The sequence below is a fragment of the Homo sapiens genome, chromosome 3 (assembly GCF_000001405.40).
Source record: "Homo sapiens chromosome 3, GRCh38.p14 Primary Assembly".
NCBI classification, from domain to species: domain Eukaryota; kingdom Metazoa; phylum Chordata; class Mammalia; order Primates; family Hominidae; genus Homo; species Homo sapiens.
The window spans coordinates 159,682,834-159,703,494 of NC_000003.12; the positions used below are offsets into that span (position 1 = coordinate 159,682,834).

Here is a 20,661-nt window from a genome sequence, read left to right on the forward strand (position 1 = left end):
TAATGTAGTGTTGAATTAAGTAGTTTTTCCTTATTCCTGATAAACTTTTAACCGTGACCTTGATAAGAAGGGTGAAAGTGGGAAATATTCAGCTATAAGAGTATTTCTCTAAGTTTGATCTTCGGACCACTTACATCAGAATTATTAGGGATGGTGTTAAAAATTCAGATTCCTAAGCCCCATCTCAAACCTATTGACTCAGAATTTCTGGGAGCAGGATTTAGGAATCTGCATTTTGTTTTATTTTATTTTATTTTTGAGATAGAGTCTTGCTCTGTTGCCCAGGCTGGAGTGCAACCTCCACCTCCCAGGTTCGAGCAATTCTTCTGCCTCAGCACCCCTGAGTAGCTGGGATTACAGGCGCACACCACCAGGCCCGACTCATTTTTATATTTTTTAGTAGAGATGGGGTTTCACCATGTTGGCCAGGCTAGCCTCGAACTCCTGATCTCAAGTGATCTGCCCACCTCAACCTCCCAAAGTGCTGGGATAAAAACCTGAGCCACTGTTCCCGGCCCAGGAATCTGCATTTTAAATGTGCTATGTAGATCTTTCACATGAACACTAAAGTTCAGATCCTTAGCTGGTGTTCTTGCTCCATTGCGTTTTTTTTCAATCGTTTTTGTAATATTCTTTCTCAGCTTCTAGATTTTTCGTGCCATTCTTTCAATGAGAACCTGGCATGGCTCCTTTCGATCACCTCATTCTGTTTAGACCTATCCCTTGATGGTGAAAGGCCTTCCCTCTGTCTTTCCAATGCCATCTCACTGTCTCACTAGCCCTGTTCCCAACTCATGAGTTGTCCACTTGGGTCAACATAAGATGCCCTCAAGGTGTGCTCAGCAGAGCTTTGGAGTTTCCATAGAGGACCATCAGGGCTACTATTGTGGGAGACAGGGTGGGAGATGGAATTGTTATGACCCTCTATTTCCATTCAACCAGAGCTCCACTTGTGCTTCCACATGAAGTTTATCTGAAGATAAGACTCTGGTGTATAGAACAATCTTCTAAAAAGCATCGTCCTAGATTAAATTTACTATGCCCCTTCCCTGTCTGCAAAGACTTTGTTTCCTTTGTGTAAAACTTCTCTCTCTCTCTCTCTGTATTAATCATGGTTTTAATTTTCTGTATCTTAAATATATTTTGATATCTTAAAAATCTTGCTGGCCAGGAAGAGACTGCCTCTCCCAGGGCTATGAAACTCTTAGAGATAACAAAGGGCCCTGCTGGGCTTTGAGCACACCTTTTATATATAAAACCAACCAATGTGAGTCTACACCCCCAAACCTACACCTCCTAATCTAACTGTCACTGATTGAGCCAATATTTCTCTTGCTCTAAAGCAGCCCAGCAGCCAGGTAGCAGACTAGAGACCACCCCTACATTCCAGAACTCACTGATGTTATTCAAACTAGCCAGTCCTAAACTGTTTACTCCACCCTGCCTTCTGTTCACTCTGCCCTGCCTTGTCTTTCCTTCAAAAACCCTAATAAGGGCTCTGGCTTAGGCTTTCTCCTTACTATCTCCTGACAACATTGGTGTTTTCTCACTGTGGCCAGGTGTAATGTGTTTGCCCCTTCTCTCAGGAAAGGTGAGTAATACTTTCTTCTTTCAGTGGCATTAACCCTTCCATGTTACAGTCAGTCATACCTCTATAAATTAAGTCTCAGGTAGATTGAAAAACATCCTCTGCCGGGTGTGGTGGCTCATGCCTGTAATCCCAGCACTTTGGGAGGCAAAGGTGGGTGGATCACGAGGTCAGGAGATCGAGACCATCCTGGCCAACATGGTGAAACCCCATCTCTACTAAAAATACAAAAATTAGCCAGGTGTGGTGGCATGCAACTGTAATCCCAGCTACTCAGGGGGCTGAGGCAGGAGAATTGCTTGAACCCAGGAGGCGGAGGTTGCAGTGAGCCGAGTTTATGCCACTGCACTCTGGCCTGAGTGGCAGAGTGAGACTCTGTTGCAAAAAAAAAAAAAAGAAAGAAAGAAAGAAAAAAGAAAAAAAAAAAGCATCCTCTCTCACATTTAAGGCTTCCTTGTCAACAATCAATAATTACCAAACTTCAAAATGTTCCTCGAAATGCAGCTGGATCCTGCTTAACCTGATGCAGCTGGATCCTGCTTAACCTGCCAGCCTCCAGATTGTCTTTAACATCCTGAGCTCAGGTAACCTCACTGCAAGTTCAGCCTAAATTCTTAAATTATACTTGTCTCAGTTATTTATTTCATTTATTCAACCAATATTTATTGACCCACCACTATGTACCAGAACCTGCATTTGGCCCCAGAAACATAGTCTTGAACAAAATAGACAAAAATCCCTGCCCCCCAAGGAACTTATATCTTTGTGTGCATGACTTCCCCAAATAGATTGTAAATTCCACAATAGGAAGTTGTTCTCCTACTTGTTTTGCATTTTCCCATAGGACTTATTAAAGTAATTAATTACATTCATTACAGAAAACATAACATAAATTTATGACAAAGCCATTTCATGTCTTACTATTAAAACTCAGAGTAAAAGGTTTTTATTTTCTGGCTATTTAAAAAACAATTATGAACAACATTTTCTGTAACTGCTTCCTGCCCATATCTCAGATTCTGTTTAGAATCAACGACCCAAAATTTAGAGAGAAAGAATAAACAACAATTATTTACAACTCTTTAATTCTGTAATCAAAAGGATGTAATTAAATTTTTCTCATACTTTCTTCTTAAATATCTCTACAACCCTTATAAGAAGAGCTTGCCTAAATTCCCAAATTTACCCAACAATTTATTTTACTTGCAAAAAGTACAAAGAGCTTTAAAAGGAGGAAATGTTACTTTCTCAGTTTCCTTCTTCCTTTTCTTGAGTTCAGAACACCTTTTTTTTCCTACCTCACTCAGTGTACTGAACATGAATTTTACCCACATATAACTCAGAAATGACTTCTGATGTCCAGCAATGATGGGCTAACTTATTCAGACCAATTCTCTCACTGAAAATTACTAAAAATACTGAATAAAATATGTTTTAATCTTTATTTAAAACATCAATATGCCAAAACATAAGTAAGGCATTATCAGGCCAAAACCAAGAATAAATGAGAGCACAGAAAAGTAGGCCAACCACTAGAAGTTGTTTCTGTTCCAAGGGCATCTGCCTATTTGGACTGTGAAACTGAGCTATGGCTACAATGGATTCCTGGTGTGAGGCAGATGGAAATCATATCCCAAGGCCCACCAAAAGTGGAGAATATAACAGGACAACCCCATATTAAACTGGAACACAAAAGGCTACACCAGAGGTAAGCCCATTCCCTCCCTTCAGGCTCAGACAACTACAGAAAGAGTTGTTTTAGCTCAGCACAAAGCAGGGCATAAGGAAAAGAAAAAGGAAATCCAGCCCTGAGAGGCTGTAACCACAGGAATATTTGAAGCCCAGATGTGCAGCCCCAAATTTGTACTACTGCCAAAAATCTAGTTTAGAGTACCAGAATGATATTATACCTAATTCTCTAAAAGAAGAAAATACAAACCTCTTCCAGAGGAAGTTATCTTCCTATTAGTAGGTCTTTGAGAATCCTCAGAAATATGTTTTCAAGTGCTACGAGTAACACAGAATCAAAGATAGCCAAGCACACAAAGAAACAAGGCACCATGAGCAAGAACCAGCAGACAGCAGAATCAGACATTTGCAGACTTAAGATATTGGAATTACCACACACAGATTATTGAATAAAAATGTTTATTATATTGAAAGGAATTTTTAAAGCTTGAAGATACAGGAAGGCACAAGAATCTATAAAAAATGTCAAAGCAATTCTTAAAAAGAGGCAAATAGCTCTAGAAACTAAAAACATAATAATCCATATGAGAAATTTTTTCTATAATTGAACTTAGCTCCTGAGTCCTTATTTCTGCTGATAATGGAAATTACAAATGTATTCATGATTAAAGGTAACTCAGTCACCTCCAGATTAAACTCTGTCTCTTTTGGGTAAATGATAACTTAGTAGGCAGTAACTTAGAACTAATCTAAGTTCCAGGGTCTGGCACATCCTTGGAGGGCAGTTTGGTTTGGGAGGTCTTCTGTTCTCTGTTCTGTACTAACCCTGCTTTCTTTCGTTCTTAGGCATTTATTGGCCTCTTTCCTCACTGCACCCACTACAGAAGTGCCCACACTCCCTTGATAACTCCTGTCAATCTCAACTATAAGACTTCTTTATGTCCTCTGATTTGTATCTAGTCCTTGCCTGTACTTCTAGAAAACATAGAAAATTTTCACTGGCTGGGCTACCCTCTGGAGGTGCAGCATGGACTGCCTCAGGTCATAAATCCCCATCTAGGAAGCTATATTTTCTCAGACAGAAAGTAGGAGAAAAATTCCCTCTACAATCAGATCCACAAACTTATCTGTCTGTTTTTTCTTTCACAATCCCACTCCTCTCCCCACCAAGACTCAACCAAAATAGGAAAAAAGAGCTCTTTTTCTTCTCCTCTCCCTCTCTGTCAAGCTTCTTACCCATCTCAGAAATGAGTCTGTCCCCTCTCTGAATGGCAAGAAAATATTCTATGTTTACTGAAGAATTCTTTCTGTTTTATGTTTATTGTATAAACTCTATGCTCTGAGACCTGCAGGCTTTGTTTTGATATTCAAGGTTTTGGAACAAAAAACAAACAAAGAAATAATAACCTCCCCCACCCCACAAAAAAATTTCTCTTATTCAGAACTTTGCTGTCAGAGTTGAAAGATCTCACTTGGAAAACCCTCTCTTTTTTGTCTATTTTTTATATACTGTAAGTTCTGGGATACGTGTGCAGAACATGCAGGTTTGTTACACAGGTATACACGTGCCATGGTGGCTTGCTGCACCCATCAACCCATCAATTACATTAGGTATTTATCCTAGTGCTATCCCTCCCCTTGCCCCTCACTCTCCGACAAGCCCCAGTGTGTGATGTTCCCCTTCCTGTGCCCATATGTCCTCATTGTTCAACTTCCACTTATGAGTGACAACATTTGGTGTTTGATTTTCTGTTTCTGTGTTAGTTTGCTGAGAATGACGGTTTCCAGCTTCATCCATGTCCCTGCAAAGGACACGAACTCATTCTTTTTTATGGCTGCATAGTATTCCATGGTGTATATGTGCCACATTTTCTTTATTCAGTCTAACATTGATAGGCTTTTGGATTGGTTCCAAGTCTTTGCTATCGTGAATAGTGCTGCAGTAAATGTATGTGTGTACGTGTCTTTATAGTAGAATGATTTATAATCCTTTGGGTATAATCCCAGTAATGGGATTGCTGGGTCAAATGGTATTTCTAGTTGCAGATCCTTGAGGAGTCACCACACTGTCAACCACAATGGCTGAACTAACTTATACTCCCACCAACAGTGTAAAAGTGTTCCTATTTCTCCACATCCTCTCCAGCATCAGTTGTTTCCTGACTTCTTAATGATCGCCATTCTAACAGGCGTGAATTTGTATCTCATTGTGGTTTTGATTTGCATTTCTCTAATGACCAGTGATGATGAGCTTTTTTTCATAGGTTTGTTGGCCACATAAATGTCTTCTTTTGAGAAGTATCTGTTCATATCCTTTGCCGACTTTTTGATGGAGTTGTTTTTTTCTGGTAAATTTCTTTAAGTTCCTTGTAGATTCTGGATATTAGCCCTTTGTCAGATGGGTAGATTGCAAAAATTGTCTCCCATTCTGTAGGTTACCTGTTCACTCTGATGATAGTTTCTTTTGCTGTGCAGAAGCTCTTTTGTTTAATTAGATCCCATTTGTCAGTTTTGCCTTTTGTTGCCATTGCTTTTGGTGTTTTAGTCATGAAGTCTTTGCCCATGCCTATGTCCTGAATGGTATTGTCTAGGTTTTCTTCTAGGGTTTTTATGGTTTTAGGTCTCATGTTAAAATCTTTAATCCATCTTGAGTTGATTTTTGTATAAAGCGTAAGGAAAGGGTCCAGTTCCAGTTTTCTGCATATGGCTAGCCAGTTTTCCCAACATCATTTATTAAATAGGGAATCCTTTCTTCATTGCTTGTATTTGTCAGGTTTGTCAAAGATCAGATAGTTGTAGATGTGTGGTGTTATTTGTGAGGCCTCTGTTCTGTTCCATTGGTCTATATATCTGTTTTGGTACCAGTACTATGCTGTTTTGGTTACTGTAGGCTTGTAGTATAGTTTGAAGGCAGGTAACGTCATGCCTCCAGCTTTGTTCTTTTTGCTTAGGATTATCTTGGCTGTATGGGCTCCTTTTTGGTTCCATATGAAATTTAAAGTAGTTTTTTCTAATTCTGTGAAGAAAGTCAGTGGTAGCTTGCTGGGAATACCACTGAATCTACAAATTACTTTGGGCAGTATGGCCATTTTCACGATATTGATTTTTCCTATTCATGAACATGGAATGTTCTTCCATTTGTTTGTGTCCTCTCTTATTTCCTTGAACAGTGGTTTGTAGTTCTCTTTGAAGAGGTCTTCACATCCCTTGTAAGTTGTATTCCTATGTATTTTATTCTCTTTGTAGCTAGTGTGAATGGGAGTTTGCTCATGATTTGGCTCTCTGTTTCTCTATCATTGATGTATAGGAATGCTTGTGATTTTTGCACATTGATTTTTGTATCCTGAGACTTTGCTGAAGTTGCTTATCGGCTTAAGAAGTTTTGGAGCTGAGATGATAGGGTTTTCTAAAAATACAATCATGTCATCTGCAAACAGAGATAATTTGACTTCCTCTCTTCCTATTTGAATACCTTTATTTCTCTCTCTTGCCTGATTGCCCTGGCCAGAACTTCCAATGCTGTGTTGAATAGGAGTGGTGAGAGAGGGCATCCTTGTCGTGTGCCAGTTTTCAAAGAGAATGCTTCCAGCTTTTGCCCATTCAGTATGATATTGGCTGTGGATTTGTCATAAATAGCTCTTATTATTTTGAGCTATGTTCCATCAATGCCTAGTTTATTGAGTGTTTTTAGCATGAAGGGGTGTTGAATTTTACTGAAGGCCTTTTCTGCATCTATTGAGATAATCATGTGGTTTTTGTCTTTGGGTCTGTTTATATGATGGATTACGCTTATTGATTTGCATATGTTTAACCAGCCTTGCATCCTGGGGATGAAGCCCACTTGATCATGGTGGATAAGCTTTTTGATGTGCTGCTGGATTCAGTTTGCCAGTATTTTATTGAGGATTTTCGCATAGATGTTCATCAGGGATATTGGCCTGAAATTCTTTTTTTGTTGTGTTTCTGCCAGGTTTTGGTATCAGGATGATGCTGGCCTCAAAAAATGAGTTAGGGAAGAGACCCTCTTTTTCTATTGTTTGGAATAGTTTCAGAAGAAATGGTACCAGCTCCTTTTTGTACCTCTGGTAGAATTCGGCTGTGAATCTGTATGGTCCTGGACTTTTTTGGTTGGTACGCTATTAATTACTGCCTCAATTTCAGAACTTGTTATTGGTCTATTCATGGATTCGAATTCTTCCTGGTTTAGTCTTGGGAGAGCTTATGTGTCCAGGAATTTATTCATTTCTTCTAGATTTTCTAGTTTATTTGCATAGAGGTGTTTATAGTATTCTCTGATGGTAGTTTGTATTTCTGTGGGATCAGTGGTGATCTCCCCTTTATCATTTTTTATTGTGTCTATTTGATTCTTCTCTCTTTTCTCCTTTATTAGTCTGGCTAGCAGTCTATCTATTTTGTTAATCTTTTCAAAAAACCAACTCCTGGATTCATTGATTTTTTGAAGGTTTTTTCGTACCTCTATATCCTTCAGTTCTGCTCTGATTTTAGTTATTTCTTGTCTTCTACTAGGTTTTGAATTTGTTTGCTTTTGCATCTCTAGTTCATTTAATTGTGATGTTAGGGTGTCAATTTTAGATCTCTCCTGCTTTCTCCTGTGGGCATTTAGTGCTATAAATTTCCCTCTAAACACTGCTTTAGATGTCTCCCAGAGATTCTGGTGTGTTGTGTCTTTGTTCTTGTTGGCTTCAAAGAACTTGTTTATTTCTGCCTTAATTTCATTATTTACCCAGTAGTCATTCAGGGGCAGGTTGTTAAGTTTCCATTTAGTTGTGCAGTTTTGTGTGAGTTTCTTAATCTTGAGTTCTAGTTTGATTGCACTGTGGTCTGAGAGACTGTTATGATTTCCATTCTTTTGCATTTGCTGAGGAGTGCTTTACTTCCAATTATGTGGTCGATTTTAGAATAAGTGATATGTGGTGCTGAGAAGAATGTATATTCTGTTGATTTGGGGTGGAGAGTTCTATAGATGTCTATTAGTTCTGCTTGGTCCAGAGCTGAGTTCAAGTCCTGAATATCCTTGTAAATTTTCTGTCTCATTGATCTAATATTGACAGTGGAGTGTTAAAGTCTCCCACGATTATTGTGTGGGAGTCTAAGTCTCTTTGTAGGTCTCTAAGAACTTGCTTTATGAATATAGGTGCTCCTGTATTATGTGCATTTATATTTAGGATAGTTAGCTCTTCTTGTTGCACTTATCCCTTTACCATTATGTAATGCCCTTCTTGGTCTTTTTTGATCTTTGTTGGTTTAAAGTCCATTTTATCAGAGACTAGGATTGCAACCCCTGCTTTTTTTTTTTTTTTTTTTGCTTTCCATTTGCTTGGTAAATATTCCTCCATCCCCTTATTTTGAGCCTATGTGTATCTTTGCACCTGAGATGGGTCTCCTGAATACAGCACACCAATCGGTCTTGACTCTTTTTTCAATTCGCCAGTCTGTGTCTTTTAATTGGGCCATTTAGCCCATTTACATTTAAGGGTAATATTGTTATGTGTGAATTTGATCCTGTCATTATGATTCTAGCTGGTTATTTTGCCCATTAGTTGCTGCAGTTTCTTCATAGTGTCAATGGTCTTTACATTTTGGTTTGTTTTTGCAGTGACTAGTACCAGTTTTTCCTTCACATATTTACTGCTTCCTTCATGAGCTCTTGTAAGGTAGGCCTGGTGGTGACAAAATCCCTCAGCATTTGCTTGTCTGGAAATGATTTTATTTCTCCTTCATTTACGAAGCTTAGTTTAGCAGGATATGAAATTCTGGGTTGAAAATTCTTTTCTTTAAGAATGTTGAATATTGGCCTCCACTCTCTTCTGGCTTGTAGGGTTTCTGCAGAGAGATCTGCTCTTAGTCTGATGGGCTGCCCTTTGTGGGTAACCCGACCTTTCTTTTTTTTTTTTTTTTTTTTTTTTTTGAGACGGAGTCTCGCTCTGTCGCCCAGGCCGGACTGCGGACTGCAGTGGCGCAATCTCGGCTCACTGCAAGCTCCGCTTCCCGGTAACCCGACCTTTCTCTCTGGCTGCCCTTAACATTTTTTCCTTCATTTCATCCTTGGTGAATCTGATGATTATGTGTCTTGAGGTTGCTCTTCTCGAGGAGTATCTTTGTGGTGTTCTCTGTATTTCCTGAATTTGAATGTTGGCCTGCCTTGCTAGGTTGGGGAAGTTCTCCTGGATAATATCCTGCAGAGTGTTTTCCAACTTGGTTGATTCTCCCCGTCACTTTCAGGTACACCAATTAGACGTAGATTTGGTCTTTTCAAATAGTCCCATATTTCTTGGAGGCTTTGTTTGTTTCTTTTTATTCTTTTTTCTCTAATCTTGTCTTCACACTTTATTTCATTAAGTTGATCTTCAATCTCTGATATCCTTTCTTCTGCTCAATCAATTCGGCTATTGATATTTGTTTATGCTTCATGAAGTTCTTGTGCTGTGTTTTTCAGCTCCATCAGGTCATTTATGTTCTTCTCTAAACTGGTTATTCTAGTTAGCAATTCCTCTAAACTTTTATCAAGGTTCTTAGCTTCCTTGCATTGGAAAACCCTCTTTTAAAACTCAAAGGTAAGAGTCTGACGGTTCTCACTGTTCTGTTTGTATTTCTCTCAGGCTGATGGCAGAGGGAGACTACTAAGAAGGAAAAATACGTCCAATAATATTTCAAAATATTATTCTGCTGTATGAGCAACTTTTTATCTAGTTCCTACAAAAAGAAAACATATTTAACAAAAATATTTGTTGGAACGAAATCATCCTGGGACAAAAAAAAATGTGGGACCCATAGAGTTTTGTTATATAAGGATTTCATCAGTTCATAGGTTTCAAGAGCAGGTCACTGGCAAACTGAATTAATTTACTATGCACTTCTCACAGGTCAGAAGTAGTGTTATTGCAATAATTGTAGATTTTGAATAAAGACATATTTACCTTGACTAGTAGCTATAAAGATAGACTGAAACCTTTTTAAATCTCAAAATTAAGAGTGCTCTACTGACACCAGCAAGGGTGATTATATCACCCCGAATATCAGTAGGGAGGGGCTGTTTTTAATGAGAATTGATGCCATAAATTGACAATTCAAAAATGACTCAGCATTGAAAAATAGTACAATATATAATATTATTAAGAATAGTTTTAGTTTCATTGATGCAGAAACTGTTTGCACACAAAAGAATGCAAATTCTAAGATCTCTCTTTCTTCCAAGGATAAAATATACGCACACATATATATATATATGCAAAGAGAGTAAATGAAATCTGCCAACTTTATATTTGGAAGGAAATTCAGAGACGATTTTCCTGCCAGCAGTCTTGGGTGTAGACCAAGTAGATAAAGTTATCAGAAAGGATTAATTGGATCCTGATCCATATGTAATTGAGCTTCCACTTTGGTACACTGGCTATTAATGTTTTAGATGGGAGAGTATAGTGTCTCTTTCAGCTAGAATTGAAATATCTATAAGACGAACTGGAGAAAGCATTAAGAAAACGCCAAGACACCCAGGAATTTGCATATCCCTGATTGTGACTATAGGTAGAGGTCACATCAGTTCTATAAAATCAGCATTTACTTTGTACACCTGCCTAGGAAGCAAACAACAATGAAAATTCTCCAATTTCCAGGACTTAAGTATGTAGAAAAATTCACCTAGAGCTGAAATTTACAAAAGCAAAACTATAGAGCCTTCTTAATTTTTAAGATTTCGGTTAATAAGTTTTAGAAATTGTTTCAAAAAGTAAATATCCATTAAGTCATTTATAGAATGGTAGAGCTGAGTGTACGTGTGTCGTGAAGATCAGTGCTATGGTTTCCACAGCAACTACAGCTCTGTCTGCTTGAATCCTCGCTTTGTACTTTACTCAGCCTGTGCTAGTAAATTTAGGCCCATGGTGAGCACCTGTAGGCGAATATAGGTATGCACTCACCTATCTGTGATATTCTGTGTATTTCTTATAAGAACTAAGGTTTCCTTCTTACCATATCATGATCTACTTAACATTTAAGCTTGGAATAAACAAAGCCCTATCTGGGCTTTCAAATCCCATGAGGTATACTAAAATATTTTTGTAATAGAGATTGTGGGCCAGGTGCGGTGGCTCATGCCTAACACTAACCCTAACCCTAACCCTAACCCTAACCCTAATCACAGCACTTTGGGAGGCCAAGGCGGGCACATCACCTGAGGTCAGGAGTTCAAGACTAGCCTGGCCAACATGGTGAAACCCCGTCTCTACCAAAAATACAAAAATTAGCTGGGCATGGTGGCGGGTGCCTGTAATCCCAGCCATTCGGGAGGCTGAGGCAGGAGAATCACTTCAACTGTGAGACGGAGGTTACAGTGAGCCGAGATTGTGCTACTGCTCTTCAGCCTGGCCGATAAGAGCAAAACTCTGCCAAAAAGAAAAAAGAAAAGACAAGAAAGAAAGAAAGAAAGAAAGAAAGAAAGAAAGAAAGAAAGAAAGAAAGAAAGAAAGAAAGAAAGAAAGGAATTATGACCAATGACATATTTTTAAAAAGTAAAGGATTGCATATTGGAATAATCCAAATCCCCTAAATTTACAACTGAGCAACAACTCTGTCACTGATTCAAGAAAGGTCTTCTCTTGGGCTCATTAATTCCAGAAACTGGGCTAATAGAATAAGGAAATATTTCAGCTCAATTTGCCTTAAAACTACATATCTGGGGTTCCTGAAGCAGCACTTCAGTCCCTTCCAACTGAGCATCTCAATTACCTTATGATTCTCAATAAATTGGTTGATTGGGCTCAACGTATCTATCATACCAGGTCCCAATGCTTGACTGATTGCTGAGTAGTGCAATTAGTAGGCTGAGTTATTTAGAAGACTTGTCCCCACCATGGAAGACAAGCTCCACCCCAATTACTCTAGAGCTTCTTGCTCCAGTGTTTCCTATGGCAAGATTTTCTTCTGAATGAAATCATCGTCTGTATATTTGGTGTTCATTTATTAATAGATCCAACAAATATTTATAGAGTGCCTACCATGTGCAGGGGGCTGTGCTGTCACTAGAGATCCTATGCTGACCCTGTAACTAAACACCTTGAATGGCTTCTAATAAGGACCCAAGCCTAATGAACAGTGTTAGAGAAGATTTTCAATCAGGCCATTCTCAGTGACCAAAACCCTTAATGTGGCTATCAAATGCCCACCGCCAGGTTTTCCTCTTCCATTACAGGCTTTCATCTTACATTCCAAGATCCTACCCTATGATTGACCCTTCCTCCTATGTCTTCCCTACTCTCTTCTTGCATTGCTGTTAGCATGTAAATCGCCACTTGATTCCCACTGTCACTCCAATCCTGCGTTCTACCTTCTGACTCCTAGAACCACTTAGCTGCTCCATCTCATACCTGGTTACTTTTTTCTCCACCTTCATCTCTCTTCTCACTGAGGATTTTGAAGTGGTCAAGACTCAGGGAGAATCAAGGCACCATGTGGCTTTTGTCTTTGAACAGTTCAGGGCCTAACAGGGTACAATAAATCCATTTGGGACTTGGATTTCCACCTTGGCTACATACTGGTTAAAAAAACTTTGTAGTACTACTGTGAGGATCTAGTCACTATTTGTCCCATTGCTTCTAGTGGTAAATGTTTCCAAGTTCCATACAGCCCATTTACCTTCTTCATTTTCCCCCTAAGCCAGCCTGAATTCTCAGTGAAGAGACCACTATCCATATAATCACCTGAACCAGAAACCTACAGTTGATCCAATTCCCTTCCTGCTCACTAACCTTCCTCATCCACTCCTTCACCAAGCCTTATGGGCTTATCTTCACTGTCACTGCCTTATGTAGGTTCTTATCACTTCTGGCCTGACTTATTGCCCTACCGCACCCCCCACCACCTCATTGAGTAGTCAAACCTATCAACACCCATCACCAAACATCACATTGCTGCCGCCACTGGTACCCATCAAATTCATCTCTCCCTATGCAACTTATCACATTTTTTTCCAAAGCATATGTCACTTCGTGTTCTGAATCCCCTTAGCTTTCAGAATAATGTTCAAACTCCTTGGTTTATAACAAATGGTTTACAATCAGGTCCTACTCACATTTGTGGCTTCCTTTACCACCACCGTACCATCCATCCATGCAATCCCTGTGTCACCCATACAGGACAGTGTGTAGCTCCTGTAACCCCTGCTGCTGATTCACACCTCCATTATCTCACATACACTGACTGTTTTCTCTACTTGGAATGCCCTTCTTTCTGTGAATAGTGAAGTTAACTCTTACTGCTCTTATTAGTCCCTCAAACTCAGTTTGCCATGTGTCACCCACTGTGCTGAGAGCAGTACATGTATTCCTTGAACCCCACCTCCAACTTAGGCGCCCTTCATTTGGGTTCCATAGCTCTCTAGATACCTCTACTAGAGCACTTGCCATAAATAACATATTTATTTAGTCAGTTTCATTTATTCATTCAACAAATATTTATTCCCATGTGTCCTACAATAGTGGGCAACTTAGACAAGTTTTCTACTCTCTGGTTCTTACAGGATTGCAGGGAGAAAGACAATTGAGAAGTAACAATGATGGATCATAGGTGGTAAAGTAGAAGACTCTGTGGGTGTCGGGGTTCTTAACACAATCCAGGAGGTCAGGAAAGGCTTCCTAAGGGAGCCATCCTTTGGTTGAGCCTGAGGTATGTACCAGGAAAAGAGATCAGCCCATTAAAGGCCTAGAAATGAGAGAGCACATGCATGGGGCCTCTCTTCAGGTAACTGAAATAAGTTCATTATTAATGGAGAAAGGTAGGGCACTGGCAAGACAGCAAGATGGAGCAGTGACAGCAGTGCTGGCTAGTGGGGAGGGCTGTAAAAGCCTTGTCTAAGGAAGCCAGATTTGTTTATCCCTAAAGCAATGGAAAGGCCATTGAACGATTTTAAGGGTGGTGACATGGTCAGACATGCCTTTTAGAGTGGTCACTGTGGCTGCCCATTAGAGATGCAGGGAGGCTAATTGGGACACTGTTACTAATCCAAGTGAGAGATGCTAGTGGGCTGGACTAGATAGTACCAGTAGGAAAGCAGAAATGTAGACAAACTTTAGAGCTGCCTATGAGGTAGAATTAACAGGATTTGTTGACTTATTAGGAAAAAGACATGAGGGAGAAGAAAGACTAAAGGATAATCCCAAATATTTAGATTTAGGTAGTTTGGGGTGCCATTCCTGTAAAACTGGGAATTTTTGGATGGAGAGAGGAGCAGTTTTGACAGAAAGATGATAAGCTCAGTGGACACAATAGAGGCAGGTCTGGAAATTTGAAAGTCATTATCATATAGATTGTAATTAAGGCCAAGGGGATGGATATAATCCCATTAAGCTATAGGTCTAGTGAGGCAAGGACCATACATTATTCACCTCTGCATCTCCAGGGTCTGATACTGTTTCTGGAACAGAGTAGGTGCTTTGGTAATTTTATTGAATTTAATGAATATTAATTAATTAACTCTGTGAAATGCAATCACATTTAATTTGAAAATCTTCCTTAGTATAAAATATTGGAATACAAAAATTGTGGTGGTACTGATATGCATCAACAATTGAGAAGTAACAATAACAGATCATAGATAGTTTTTAGAAAAGTGATATTGAAATGGATAATCTAAAAAAAAAAGTTGGGCCGAATAATAACTACTTTGAAGACAAATGAAATGTATTTCACTTGTACAAATTAAAGCATAGTTACAGTCCAAAAATTACCAAAGCAGATTGCAAGTGCTATTTTATCATCATTTGTACAGTGTGATGGAGCAATTAAAATTTGATATATGTATTTGTCTATGCATAATAATTAGCAAGAGACAAAGAGATTAAAAGGATAGTTAAAGAAAAACCAAAAATGAGCATCCTTTCAGCCATGCATTTGGCACCACACACATCTGCTTTCAGCAACAGCCTGTCATGGTGGCTTGCTTTTGATTTTCCACTGGTTCCCCTCACAGAACTTATATGTGGGGAGGCAACAAAACTCTTCTTGTGTATTATCATGGTAATTTTATAATTATATTCAAAGGAAATTCTTTGAATCTTTTTATTCTTTTATTGGAAATAACATTTAAATGTGGGAATACATTCCCTGAGACCAAACAGTGTCTGCCAGCAATGGTAATAAATATCAGTCCTACTCTTCAAAGAAAGGATATGTTCCCCAGTATTTTTCAAGCATGTCTTTTTTCCCCTCTTGAATAAATTTTTGTTGATTCTTTCATTTCATCAAAATATCTAGAAAGTACAGGTACCACTCAGAAATTTTACTTTTGAATTTTGGCATGTAGTCCATCATTTGTGCAAGGCCAAAAGATAAATTTCAAGTGAGTCATTACTACGAGTGCATTGTGGCAGAAAACATCCTGGCCAAAGGCAGACATGGGTTCGCATTGCAATGCACTTGCTTGATAGGTACAGAAGATCCCTCAACCTCTCTAGGTCTTATTTGTCTCAACTGTAAAATGAGGAATTGAACTTACTTAGTTCTTTATTTTTTTTTATTTTTTTATTTTTTCTTGAGGCAGGGTCTTGCTCAGTCACCCAGGCTGGAGTGCAGTGGCATGGTCTCGGCTCACTGCAACCTCCACCTCCTGGGTTCAAGCAATTCTCGTGCTTCAGTCTCCCGAGTAGCTGGGATTACAGGCTACAGGCGTGCACCACCATGCCTGGCTAATTTTTGTGTTTTTGGTAGAGACGGGGTTGCTCCATGTTGGCCAGGCTGGTCTCAAACTTCTGGCCTCAAGTGATCTGCCTGCGTCGGCCTCCCAAAATGCTGGGATTACAGGTGTGAGCCACCGCACTGGTCTGGGTTTAGTTACTTCTAAGACCACTTCTAGCTCTACGATCTTATTCTATCCTCAAAAACATTTTATTACTTCGTGTAGACTTCATTAAATTTGACTTTGCTTTATCATTTTATGTTCTCTATTAATTACCAAGATTTTATATACTATGTCTCTGTGCCCAGTGGAAGCTAAAGATCTAGGAACATAGCATGAGTATGGGAATATGCTAACACTCATAATAATGTTTCTATTCTTTGGGCATTTACCACATGTCAGTCATTGACTTAGGCATTTGCTCTATCACATTTAATCTTCATGACAACCTTATATAATAAATATTAATATCCCCATTTTACAAACTATGAAATTGGGACTTGTATATGTTAGTAACTTGACAGAAAGTGCTATTGGTGAATTTCAACCCTAGATCTACCAGCTCCTGAGCCTGTGCTTTTAACCATTATGTTACAGCTGGATTTCTGGCTGGGTCTCTCTCCGAGGGTTGGAGTGAACCCAGTAGAAGCAGGTAACACCCAGGAAGGAGTGTTGAGTGAAGTCATCTGGGATGTTTACCCACAAAATGCAGACTTGAGAGGTGAGCAAGGAAGGGAGAACCAAGATTATGCTGGAGGGCTGTGCAAACTGTGGTTGTAAGGCTGTGGGAAGTATCACATCCACACAGGGTGAGGCAAGGATGGATATGGGAAGATGAGCAGTGACATTGGTAGCCTGGAGAATCTTAGCTTCTTAGTACTGGATCTTAGCAGAATTCTCTCCAAGTCTTCATCACTAAGATGAGGTATGACAGGATTATGTGAAAATTCTCCTTCAAACACTACCTAGTGATGGCATAAGAAAATAGAGTGAGAATATCTTTAAGATACTCTTGAAGAAACAGGTGGCAAGCAGTTTGTGCTAGAGCTTCTCCCAGTGACTCATGAAAGGCACAATAGAAAGGATTTCCAAGTTAGGCAAAGAAGGAAAGGAGAGCTGGAGAAGGTATACTAGGAAGAGATCTCATGTGCCTGAAAATTATAACTAGAAAGATACAATGGGTGCAATTGGTGCTAATGTTCTATAATGCCAGGCCATCTCATTTCACAGGGTGCAGACCTCAGAGATAACCATACCCACCATTTAGAAACTTTTCTACCTTAATAAAATGGGATGTTGTCACATCAGAAGTACATGAATTGCTTTCACCAGACACAATTGGCTCTTATAAAGTCTTCTTGCTTAAAAGATTGACTCTAAACTTAATCTAACCTCCACATAATGATCGGTTTGCAGTATACACAGGAAATAGAGAAACAAGCTAAGTGACATGCAAATTAAGTACTCAGGCAAATCCTACATTCTATAGGACAAGTGATGCAGTTTCTCCAAAAATAAATTACCCAGTTTCTCCAGCAAATTAATGGCATGAAATAAGGGGAGATAGATTATAGAATAAAATACACTTAATAAATGTTAATGTAAAAATCAATAGTTGGTGTAATAATACAACTTCTAGTAATTTCTCCTAAGTAAACAATTAGAGAAGAGAGTACAGATGTATGTAGGTAAGTGTTCACTGCTTTATTGTTTGTAATGGTAGAAAAAGATGCAGTTTGGGCTGGGCATGGTGGCTCGTGCCTGTAATCCCAGCACTTTGGGAGGCCGAGGCTGGTGGGTCACCTAAGGTCAGGAGTTCGAGACCAGCCTGACCAATATGGTGAAACCCCATCTCTACTAAAAATATGAAAATTAGCTAGGCGTGGTGGCATGTGCCTTAGCTACTCAGGCGGCTAATACAGGAGAATTGCTTGAACCCAGGAGGCAGAGGTTGCAGTGAGCCAAGATCGTGCCACTGTACTCCAGCCTGGGGTGACAGAGTGAGAATCCAACTCAAAAAAAAAAAAAAGAGAGATGCAGTTCTGAGACAGAAAAATAAATTAAGGTTGGGGGAAAGGAAAGCAAGTTACAGGCAGTAGGTATGTATGTCATGTCATGGCATGGTGTGATGTGGTGTGGTATGGTAATCAGAAAACCTAGATTTTAACATGCTTGGGCAAATTAACCTCTATGAGACTCAGTTTCCTCAACTTAAAATGAGGATGATTAAAGTTCCTATCTGATAGGGATGTTATGCGATTAAATACAATAATATTAAGCACAAGGCCTGGCAGAGTAAACATTCAATATATCCTTCCAGAATATACACCAGACTTTCGAGAATGATCATCTCTATCTACAGAAGGAACTATGGTAAACTTTTTTACCCTTTCTGTTTTAAATTGCCTTTCATTGTCATTCAACTCTAACATTTTTGTCATTTTCATTATGAGTGTATGTGCATCCTTTTTTATGGTTAATAAACTTTATTTTTTAGAGCAGTTTTGTGTTCATAGCAAAACTGAGCACAAAGTACAGAGTTCCTATATACCCCTGCCCCCTACACGCACAACCTTCCCTACTATCAACAGTATATCCTTTTTAAACCATGAGTTTTTAGGTGTGATTTTAAATTTTCAAAGAAATAGGTACTTTTAACTGCTAATTTGATATTTAATTGCATAGTCATCAAAGAAAATGGTTTGGATGATCTTGATTCTTTAATAACTTATATTTAAACATTTATTTTCCTTTATAACCTAATACATGGTAAATACTTGAAAAGAAAGCATATTTTCTGTATACTGGTTCTATATATTTTCTATATGATCTGTTGTTTTTTATATATACTTTTAAATATTGGATCACAATCATGTATTTGTCCATTTTCCTTGTAATTTGTCTTATAATTTTCTTAGATTTTCAAGGCTATGTAGTGGCCTTCTTAATCCTCAGTGACCTTTTTTTTTCTTTGCTTTATATTCTATTTTCTCATGCAAATAGTTTACATGAGAAAAAGGCACCATGAGGGAAAGAGTAATAGGAGACATTGGGCAGACTTCAAGCAATATGAGTCAGAATAGTGTAGTGGTTACTAGCATGTTCTTTGAATGAAGACTGATCTACATTGAAGTCCAAGCTCCAAAGCTTGGTCTCAATTTACTCATCTGTAAAATGTAGATGATGATCATTGTACCTACCCCAATACAAATCTACACTTTTGAGGTACCCTGGGGTATAGGTTGGGGCATTGCAGAATCCTGACAAATTTCCTGAAAGTTCTAACTGGGAAATAAATCCATTTTGACATTGAATAATACATGAGCTTGAGAGAGTTTACTTACTTGTGGTAATGAAAGGGAATTATTTTTAAAACTTTTCTAGCTAAAATAAAATCTCCAGTTGGCATAGTGTAATTGGTCATTGTTCCTGAATCACTGCTTCATCACCCCAGTTTCCAGAGGCACTAAATGAGATGGAGATAAAGAAGAAATTCCCCAAATTCTTCATTTCATTACATGTTCCAAAGGCAGAAGGAAATCTCTCCTCAGTTATCATTTTGTGAGTAAATTTTGACTAAACCAAAGTAATCTATTAAGTCACTCATAATATTCCTAATACCCCAAGAAACTATTAATCGCAAAATTATAACAGAAATTTACTCAATGCCTGTTCCTTTCACTTTCCTATGTAAATTAAGACCCTCTGGCCATCTCTTTTTCCATGACAGTTCATAAAGCCAAGCCTAATCTTCTCCTGACAATACATCTAAAGAAGTGAGCTTCAAAGTCTAAGCGAAGAGCAAGAAGCTGAGATGAATTCTGTAAAGAAAAAATGCGCTCTGAAAATAACTTGTCCAGATTCCTCCTAGCAGGTTAATTTAGGATCTGATACTAGTTTCTCATTGAAATTTTCAGAAAATGAGTGAAGCATTTGAAACAGAAAGTGCAATTGTACTCATGCACTTAATTTTCCAAGGTTCAACTATACCAACTTTATTATACAAGGTTTGTACATTTCAAAACTTTAAAATATTTTTCCAGTTCAATGAAAGGGCTATTTTCAAGACCAAGAAATAGCAAAATTTTGTGATGACCTTTTGAAACAAGTAGACCTATCAGTTAAAAGGTCAATGATATCCTTTTACTTGCATTTCCATTTATAAAATTGGCAATTCTTCCTTAAACAATTGTCAGTATAATTGACATAGTACATACATTTATTCTTTATCTACTAGTCATCCTCTGAGTGCTGAGGTGTAAAGGAGGAGGCTGTTATTTGGGATCTTGAGCTGAATTCATAGCATTGATCTTAATTCAGCCGAGTGATTAGAACCCAGTGTGGTACCTTTCTGTTTAGACTGAAGCAGGTAAGAAGGGTCAGTCACAAGGAATCAAATGATTCAAGAACTTCATTTGCAGTACCAAGGAGCATCCCAGCGCACTTATAGATTGAATAAATAAAAACTCCATCAACCATTTACATTGAAGAAAATTGTTTTTCCAAACTGTCTTCCATAAATGTTCACTTTTCAAAAGCATTTCATCTTATTAACCTAAGAACACGTGGTAGAGGAAAAGTTGAAGTCATGCTTGACAGTAAGTGATATCTACCAATGCCTGGTATGGATTTTTCCCAGGATTTGTAGCTGATATACCATAGAGATATGGGTAAATTGTGTCACAAAAAAACTGCA

At 38.6% G+C, this 20,661-nt stretch overlaps 2 protein-coding genes across 7 annotated transcripts in view; both read left to right on the forward strand.

The window, feature by feature from the left end:
- Positions 1 to 20,661, forward strand: part of IQCJ-SCHIP1 (IQCJ-SCHIP1 readthrough) — an 828,041-nt gene that overhangs the window by 613,515 nt on the left and 193,865 nt on the right. The window lies entirely within an intron of this gene.
- SCHIP1 (schwannomin interacting protein 1) overlaps positions 1 to 20,661 on the forward strand; it is a 624,116-nt gene that overhangs the window by 409,590 nt on the left and 193,865 nt on the right. The window lies entirely within an intron of this gene.